The following is a 10,197-nucleotide window of genomic DNA, read 5'->3' on the forward strand; positions in this document are numbered from 1 at the left end:
TAAAGGATGAAATGGGTCAGGGCATTTAAAGCACTGTGCACAGTGCCTAGAACAGAGTAGGCACTTTTCATGCATGATTCTCCCTCTTGTACTCATTCACAGACCCTTTCCATCTTTCTCCTCTCCACCTGCTTCTCCAAACATTGTCAGGGAGGCAAAAATATCCAAGATGAGACTCACAGTAAATGTGTTCTCCAGCCTCTAAAGGAAATTAAAAGCCAGAAACCAGGGAAATCATGTTTTTAGGAGAGGCCCAGGGGTTCCCCAAGCCTGGGTTCCCATGACAGGGTAAGAGAAGCTCCTGCTGGATCATGTCCTGATCTTTACCCTGAGCATCATTCGATGGGAGAAGAAACAGAGGACAACATGTTAAATCTTATATCTGTCACTTTCTCTGACCGCCAGGCCCTTGGAGGGGACACTGAGCTCTGTGGTCTACAAGAGTGGCCTGCAGGGGCCTGGGGTAAATAATGTCCACTTGCAGGCCAGAGAAGGATTTGATTGAGAGGAGCATAGAGGAGGGCCCTGTGGGACAGGGAGGAAGCCTCTTTCAGATCCTCTCCCTGACCGCATTCACACACACAGGTGCATGCACCTGCCTGCTTGGAGGCACATCATAAGCTGCAAGCCTGACATGCATGTTTTTTTTCCCAGGTAAGTAGGTGGGTGTGCACAGGCGGGCCTCCTCACCTGTGTCCAGTGCTTGCAGGAGGGGCTGCATGTCCCATCTGAGTCTTAGTCCCACCCAGAGAGGACCTTCAGAAGCCTGGGTCTCATCCCCCAGCCCACTGGCGGATGGCAGATCTAAAAAGGCCCAGAGGTGTAAGGTGGCCTATCAATGTCACCCAGGCTGGAAGTGGCAGAGGTGTGGCTCAAATCCATGTTTTCTGACTCCAAAGCTAGTGTTCTTTCCACCGAAGCATGCCCACAGTGCACACACGCATACCCACACACACTCTCACTGGCAAGTGAGCACACACGCATCTAGCAGAGGGCTCACTGTCACCAGCCCATTATATAGGGCTGCATTTATCAGGTTGAACCCTTCTAACACCTGTAGGAGGTTAAGTATGTATTATCCCTATTTTTTCGGGTGAGGAAACCGAGGCACAGAGAAGTTAAGTCACTAGTCCAAGGACACATAATTAGAGCCCAAATGTGAATTTTGAGCAGTCTGGCATCAGAACTTCTTAACTGCCATTATCTCCGCTATACTGCTATATCTGTGCACGAGTGCTCACACACTTACATTCATATACACACTCACATACTCACACATTGGTCTTGGGTGATCTGGGCGCTCACCCCTGATGCAGCAATGATGCCAAGACCAGAGAGAGGAAGCTGGCTCCGGCCTTAGGGTGGACCTCCTTCCTGGAGAAAACAGAAACATCTCTCCCAACTCTTTCTCTCCCCTTGCCCTGCCCCAGCACCTGCATGAGAAGAAAAAAACATCCACCATTCCCTTCCTCATTCCAACCCCATCTCTCTAAGCCCCCATCTGCTTGGTTCCCCAAGGGCTTCCGGTTGCATTGCAAAGATGTCCTGGCAGTAGGGAGGCAAGAACAGAATGAAATATATGTAACATCTTATTAGTAAAGGACATCTGAGCCTCTAATTAAAATTTGCCTAATGACCCAACTTCTCTGTCATTTTTGCTCTTAGAGAGATTAATTTAAGGTGACAGGTACTTAGGCAAAGGAAAATTAATTTTTCCTTTAAAAAATCAAAGAGGAAAAGAGTGGCCTGCTCCCTTATTTGTTTGTCTTTAAAATGTTTATTTATTTGTCAAATTCCCTCCCACTCTTTCCCAATAAAACCTAATGATGGAGAATAATTTGGTGAAGGGAAGGAGACTGAAAGAAAAGTGTCATGGGGTAGCCTGGTGGTACCCACTTGCCCTGAGGAGGGCTGTTTGTGGTTCCCCTGCTTAGGAGCCCCTGACTGCTCATTGACAAGCCTGCCGGCAAGCTGGCTAATGCTGCTCAGGTTCTAGGGGAACCTGTTTCCATCTAGGCTGTTTGACTTGGCTGTGCCAGTGGTATCTGTTTCTCTATGGAACAGATGGTGGTACCTCTCCCCCAACACCGGGCTGCAGCCCAGCTTTCCGCCTCAGCATATTTCCCCAAGCAACAGGCTGCAGCCTTGAACACACTCTGCTTTCAGGAAACAGGTGAGAAATTCGAGGGTTGCAGCTGTGGTCTTTCTGTGTGACTCCCCTCCCTGTCTTCTGTCCTCCCGACTCCTCTGGTCTCTGAGTACAGAGGAGAGGGCCATCCTGACAAGGAGACAGGGGCGTGGACTTCAAGATATTCCAATCTCAGAGTTCAGATCCTGCAAAAACCTATTGGGATGGGTCTAGAGATTACAGAAACATGTCCTTAGCATTCCCCCTCACAACCTTTTTCAAAAATAGTATTCCTGGCCAGGGTCAGTGGCCCATGTCTGTACTCCCAGCACTCTGGGAGGCTGAAGCAGGGGAATCGCTTGAGCCTAGGAGTTCCAGACCAGCCTGGGCAACATGGAGAAACCCTGCCCCTACAAAAATACAAAAATTTGCCAGGCATGGTGGCCTGTTCCTGTAGTTCCAGCTACTCGGGAGGCTGAGGTAGGAAGATGGCTTGAACCCAGGCAGTGGAGGTTGCAGTGAGCAGAGATTGTTCCACTGCACTCCAGCCTGGGTGACAGAGTGAGACTCTGTCTCAATAATAACAATAATATTCCTCTTTTGTCCCATAGGCTCCTCTTCAGACTCTCTGATGCTCTGTCTCTTCTCACTCTTCCCAGGGCATCCTACTCCATCCTCACCCACATTTTCATCCCCACCCCATCCCCACCCAGCTCTCAGATCTCACCCTGACCCAACCTGCTCCACTCCACTTCCTAAGGCCTTTCTGCTGCTCTTTCCTCATTCTTCAGGATATTAGCTTTGAATCAGGTGTTTCCAGTAGACTAAGAGTTGGAGAAGACAGGCAGGAGGAGAGGGAGAGAGGTGAAGAAGGAAGAGGAATCCTTTTTTCTAGAGACCTAAGTCCTGCTCCTAACCCCTCTCTCTCTTTATCTCCATTTCCCTCTCCAGCAGCATGACTGATGCTGGGAAATCTGTCAGGTTTTGCTTCCTGGGGAGCCAAGGGAGGCTTTTCTAGCAATTAGGCCAAGGCCTCTAATCCAAGAAAGCTCTAAACACCCGGCAAGCAATAACTCGGTCCACTGGGCCCTGTAGGGAGGACAGGAGGAGCAAGAGAGGTGTACTCAGGGTTCCTCTCCATCACCTGGCCACAGGGCTGGGGCCAACCCACAGGAAGGGGCTGCTGAGAAGGTGAGCATGGGTGGAGACCACTGTGGGGATAGATAACTCAAAAGCGCATCCATCCACAGGCTCAGTTCAGCCCCTGCCAGGCCACCTACACTGCAGTTCCCCCATCACACAAGAGCCAGAAAGGGAAATCAGTGGTGAGGCTGTGGGCAGGAAGAAGGCATGTATGCAGGGCAGGGTGAGGAAAGTGGGATTTGGAGTCAAAAGGACCCGTGTCTGAGCTCCACTTTCACCTTCCCATGTGCTCTTGAGCATGTCACTCCACTCATCTGAGCTTCACTGGCCTGCTAAGTAAAATGGAGATGATAGTAACACCATCCACTCAAGAGGATCCCTGGGAGGGACGGAAGAGCTGGTGGATGGCAGGTGACAAAGGACCCCTCCTCTACATCTGCCCACAGCCCCACCCTCCACCCACTGGCTGGGGAGAGCTGCAATTTCTCTAATGCACGGAGGGAAAAGACGGGCCAAGGTTTTAAAGATGCCTGTTCATCTCACTTTGCATATATTTGCATATTGAGTTCAAGAGGCTCATCCTAATTCTGAGGATGGAAAATAAAATAAATTAACAAATACGAGATTAACAGATGCAACTCCTGCAGCAATTGTCTCCTTGGCTGTTCTGGGCTTGACACCCTGGAGACAAAGAATGCTCTCAAGGCAATCAACTTTTAATCATCTCTGGACAGAAGCCCCAGACAGAGGGACCCTGTCCCTCCCACCCCCACTCAGAGGTCAGTGCTGAAGGATGTAGAGGAGAGGGGCCTTGGAGAGTGGAGGGCTAGGGCCAGACTCTGTGGCAGGCAGTGACCCTTGATTTGCTCCTTTATGAACTTGCAGTGCAAGGTGTGGTGGAAAAGAGCATGGCCTCAGGGCCACACTGCCCAGGTCTGAATCCTGGCTGCGCCATGTCCAGCTCTGTGCCCTTGGGCAAGTCACCTAACCTCTCTGTTCTTGGGTGGCCTCCTGAGTCAAATGAGAATAATAGTAACACCTACCCCATAGGGTTAGTGTGAGGATTGAATGAGTTGTGTTACAGCTGTGTTCAGCATATTGTAAATGCCTGGTAAGTACTGACTAGTATTACTATTTTTATCATCACTATCACCGTTGTTGTCATCATCATGGTTTATTATTATTATTATGTGATAGAAAATGCCTATAGGACCAGGAACCAGAGACGCAATTTTTATTTTCATCCCAGTCTTCATCCACTGTGTGGCTTTGGGGAAAATTCCCCCACCCCTTTGGCCTTTGTACTCCAACAGGGCTGGCCCAGGCACCCTTCAAGCCATGACAAACAGATCAGGCAGAGTGAGATTTCTGCTTGTTTCAAGGCTGCCTGAAAACAGACTTTGAGGCTGATTGTCATATGCAAAACATATGTAAAACATATGCAAATCACCCTCTCCATGGCATTCCTGAGCTCCTATACATGGGTAAGGCCCTTGGAGCCATCCCTGTGTAGCCCCTGAGAGCAGAGACACTGCCCAGCCACAGAAGCAACTGCACCCCTCAGCTCCCCTCAGCCAGCTTTCTTTGGGATCCTGAGAAAAGCTCAGTCTCCTTGCTTCCACCCCTTTTTCATCCTGCCCCCACCCCGGCACCTGCCCATCTGCCTTGACTGCTCTGAGACTCCCTCACCATCTCTGGAGGACTGAGGGTCAGGGTCCAATTCTACTTCCATGTACATCTGCCTTGCACTGGGCCTGTCACCCATTGTATCACATTTCTCCCTCACTGCTGTGAAGGTGTCAGGATCCCCATTTTACAGACGGGGAGATTGAGGCTTAGAATGAGGCAACTTGTAAGATGTCAACTGCTAGAAGAGTGAATCCGGACCCAGGAGACCCACTCCACCAGGCTACCTTCCCATGAGCTCCTGAGTCAGTCCAGGGCAGAGAAAGAAGAATGGGTAGGGGGAACTGGGTCAGCCACTTTTCAACTTTTGCACCCCTGAGGCAGAAGGCTTCCCCACTCATGGAGCTGGCACTGATACTCCAGGCAGAGAAGCAAAGCTGCCGCCTGCCAGATTTCCAGAGCCCCATCAGTTGATGGCATCTGAAAGAGAGCCACCACAGAGCGCCACCACTGTGGACATGATCCCTGACCTGCCCCAGAGGCTGGGCTTCTCCCCTTTCCCTCCTGCTCAGCCCCAGCACTGCCTAAGCTCCCACTGCCTCCCTAAGAAAGATTTGGGAGAAATCAGAAGTCAGGGGCCAGATGTTCCAGTTCCCCATAGGAATTCTTCTTTCCCTGGCCAAATCCAGGAGAGGCCACGTCTTTGGCCGGGTAGATGTTTAGGAGGGAAAAGGGTGAAGGTCCCAACCACCAACACAGCCCCCAGACTTCCACTAGCACCCTCAGCCAGCTGAGTCCAGCCCAGCCCACCTCCTACCCACACCCCAGCAACAGCAGCCTCAGCTTCCACCTCCATTTCTCCTACCTTCCTAGGACCCTGCTCCGCCAGAGGCCCATTAAGTTGATTAAGAGGCACATTCCGGAAAGAAGGAGCCATATTTCAGCTCCTAGAGAACCCTCTGCCCTCCTCCACCTCCATCCCTTCCCTCTCTAATGTTCCTCTCCTTCTCCCCTCTGCCAAGGTCCTCCCCAGCCTGCCCTGGCCCCATCACTCACTGTCTGATCTCCCAGATTCTGGGGTACAGAAATGTTGGCCAGACTCCGTCAGGACTTCAGGGCGGGGCTGGGCCAAGACTGGGCCCGCCTGACATTTGAGACACCAGAATCTATTGTATTGATCATGGAATTTAATCCTCTCAACAGCCCTTTCAAGGAATTATTACCCCCACTTTTTATAGATGAGGAAACAAAAACTGAGAGGTTAAGTAACTTGTCCAAGGTCACCTCATTAAGCCACAACACCCCAGCCTTTCTTAAAGGCAAGGACTGTGCTTCCCCTGCTCCCCTGCAAAGCCTCCCCCACATCCCACCACCACCAAGTCTGGCTTCTCCCACCCACTTCCCTTCAGACCACCCAGCCCAGCCTGCCCAGACATCAACTCAGAGATTAAATGCATCTGAATCACCTGGGAAGTTGGTTAAACACAGATTCCTGAACCCTCTCCCAGAGATTCCAGGCCTCCCGTGGGCCCAGAGAGCTGTATTTTAACAACCTCCCTTAGTGGTTCAGATTTGCTGATAGGTTTGGAAACCACTTTATTAATCCAAATCTTTCATTATACAGATAGAAAAACCAAGGCCCAGAGAGGATATGTAATAAGTCCAAGGTCACATAGGAAAAGCCCAAAGTAGGACCTAAGCCCCAATTCACTTTTTGCCCGGAGGTCCATCAGCAGAGAGCAGCCAGGCCCCAGAGCTTTTCTGGCACTACCCCTACCCTCACCCCTGGCCCCCACTTCCCTCCAAGTAACCAAACATGGAAAGCTCAGGCAGGGCATCCTGTGGGAAAGAAGTGATCTGATGACCCCACACCGCTTCCCTTCTGGGCCTGGCCTGGATGTGCCTTGTGGAAAGGTCTTTGCATTCTCTAAGTCTCCCTTCTTCCATCTGTTACTTGGGTCTCTGAGATGTGCCCTTTCTGCCTTCTGTAGGGGAGCCAAGAACCGAGAATGAAAACACAACAGGGGCCAGGGGCAGTGGCCTGTCATCCCAGCACTTTGGGAGGCTGAGGCGGGTGGATCACTTCAGGTCAGGAGTTTGAGACCAGCCTGGCCAACATAGCAAAACCCCATCTCTACTAAAAAATACAAAAATTAGCAGGGCATGGTGGCACACACTTGTAATCCCTGCTACTTGGGAGGCTGAGGCATGAGAATTGCTTGAACCCAGGAGGCGGAGGTTGCAGTGAGCCAAGATCGTGCCACTGCACTCCAGCCTGGGCAACAGAGCAAGACTCCATCAAAAAAGAAAGAAAGGAAAGGAAGGAAGGAAGGAAGGAAGGAAGGAAGGAAGGAAGGAAGGAAGGAAGGAAAGGGGAGGGGAGGGGAGGGGAGGGGAAGGGAGGGGAGGGGAGGGGAAGGGAGGGGAAGGGAGGGGAGGGGAGGGGAAGGGAGGGGAGGGAAGGGAAGGGAGAAAGAAATAAAGAGAAAGAAAGAAAGAAAGAAGCAAGAAAGAAAGAGAGAGAGAAAGGAAAAGAAAAGAAAAGAAAGAGAATACAACAAGTGCAAGAAGTGACTCTAGCCAGTTCCTGCGACAGTGTTGGGAATGAGTCACCAGGTAAGATGTCGATCCACCCCCAAAACTTTGGGGTTTGTGCTCAGAGGCACAAGCACTTGGCTTGCTCAGGATAAGAGCTCATGGCTGTGCCAGAAGGATCCTCCTCAGAGGGGCCCTTGACTGCAGGGAAGCCACTTGTTTTTGACAAATCCATTACACCTTCTTTGCAGCTGTTATCCCCACTGGATGGAGGAAACAAATCAGGGCCCAGAGACAACAGTCGGGTGGTCAACCTGCTCTCAGAGTCACCTGGGACGTTTCTATTTTTACCACTGAAGTTCCTGAGTCCCTGAAAATCATCAGTTTCAGAAAAACCAGACCGGAGGCCACTCAGGACAATGAGCAGCATGCTCAGGGTCACACCGCATGCGTCCTATGGGCCTCCTGTCCCCTCCCGCCCCAGGGGGGATTTTTTTTCTTTTTATGGTAAGGAATAGTAGTGATGTCCAGGCCTGCAAAACACAAATGACAATAAACAGCAACAATACTAACATAATGTTTCTTCAGTTCTAAGATGCCATTGATTTTAAGTTAAAGTCAAGTTAACAGCTTATCAGGGGCAAAATGGGAGCTGTATTACATTACATGTAAGATGCATCATGATCCCAGAATTTAAATGTTGGAAAGAAAAATAATGGGGGTCTTCAAATTGAGGAAATATTTCAGTGATCATAACACTAACAGTTGCACAGCCCAACACATGTAGGGGACTTGTCCATTGACAAAGCCCCACTGAGTGTGCAGGTGTTGCTATGATCTCCGCTGCAGTGAGAGGAAACCGCCCACGGTTTCCCATCTAAACTCAGGTGTAGGTCTGTCTGTCCTAGTGGACCCACAAACCTCCCCGTCCCTGAAGTTCTCCATCAGGCTCCTAGGAGCAGATGTCTCGGCCAAGAAGGGTGGAGTCGAGGGAGGCTCTCTGTACCCTTCTGGGGACTAACAGCATTAGCTCCAACTGTGTAATACCAATGGCCTCATAATTTATATAGCGGTTTTCATTACCTCCCTTTTCCAAAGGCTTGTTCAATAAATTTCCATTTTATGAATTCCAAAGTGCTCTGTGGAATATGGAGCTCCACCTAGCTCCAATTGCAGTGGAGAATGGAGGGGGCTAGAAAGACAGTAGGGGTCTCCCCCCAGATCCCCACAGGCCAGGGGCTAGACAGCTCACCTGTGCGGGGTGGGGGAAGACCCACAGGAATGGAGAACGCCAGGCTGGGAACAAGTCCTGGTCTCTCTCCACTTCCTGGCTTGGTGAGCTTGAGCCTCACCTTCCACATCTGTAAACACGGGAGGGGTCAGACCTCCTTTGTGGATTGTTTTGAGAAGTAAATGAGATAATGGGAGTGTAATACTATACCTGGCACGCTGCAGTTATATGGCAAGTGCTATTTTTCTTCCTTGTTTGTAACCATCTCCCTGTTTCACTCAGGTAGTCAGTTGCCCCTCCTCTGGGGAGCCCCCAGGATTGGCCACACTGAGGCCTCTCTTCCTCTGCTCTTAATACCTTCCTCAGCAATAGAAGGTATATTAGTACTTACCGATGTGGAAAATCTCCAAGACATATTGTAAAGTTAAAAATAAAAAAGCAAGATGCATTTCAAAATAACCAAGACAGTAGATTTTAAATGTCTCACCAAGAAAAATGATAAGTGAAGTGATGGATATGTTAGCATAATCTAATAAATTATGCCAATTTATCATTAATTAGCATAATTTAATCATTCCACATTGTATACATATATCAAAGCATCCCATTTTACCCCATAATTGTATATAATTATGATTTGTCAATTAAAAATAACATTAAAGAAAGGAAGGAAAATAAGATGCAAACCAGTTTGTAGAATATAATTCCAATTCAATACAATATATTTTTACATGGATGTATGTGCAAATACATATATATGTATATATAAAGAGAAATCATAGAAAAACCAGCAAGTAGATTTCGCCAACTATTAACAGTTTTTAACCTCTGAAAATGGGACTTAGTGGTGAGGAGGGAAATTTTAATTTATTTTTGTGTAATTTAGTTTAGTGGGATTGGGGGTGACTTTTACTTTGCAGTTGGTATTTTTTGTATAGTTTTCTAATTTAAAAGGAAAATAAAAAGATGACTCCTCCCCTGAAGAATATGAAATATCCTCCCCTTTTACTGCTCCAAGGAAGATGCTGCCAGAGGTTAGATGTCCAATTTTAGGTGCCATGGACACTTTGAAGCCAGAAATTTTGAGGGGATTTTTTTTGCCCTCACGTGAACCAGGCTCTGGGCCCTGTTCCCTCCCTCATATCCACTCCAGTCTCTGACCCCTGTCCCCTCCCCGCTCGCAGAGGTCTAACCCTGCTCTCCCCCGGCATGAGCCTGGTGAGTTTGGGTACCCTGAGTCTCTCTTGGAGGGTGACTAAGGGCCAATTAGGAACTGTAGCTGCGTCTCTTACCATCTTGGAGATGCACCTGTACCCGCTGCAGTCGCCACGGCAACACAGCTATACCGGGGGTGCTGCCCAGGAAACAGGTTGCCGGGAAACAGGGCTGAGGATGAGCAGGGTCTCACCAGAAAGAAGCCCTCTCCCCTGTTTTTGAGGAGGAGGCAAACAGAGGGGAAACCAGGCAAAGATACAACCCATCATCGGTGGAGGCAGAGAGGCCTAACAAGTCTCTCCCCAGCCCTGGCCTCAGT

The sequence above is a fragment of the Homo sapiens genome, chromosome 17, assembly GCF_000001405.40.
Source record: "Homo sapiens chromosome 17, GRCh38.p14 Primary Assembly".
NCBI lineage: Eukaryota > Metazoa > Chordata > Mammalia > Primates > Hominidae > Homo > Homo sapiens.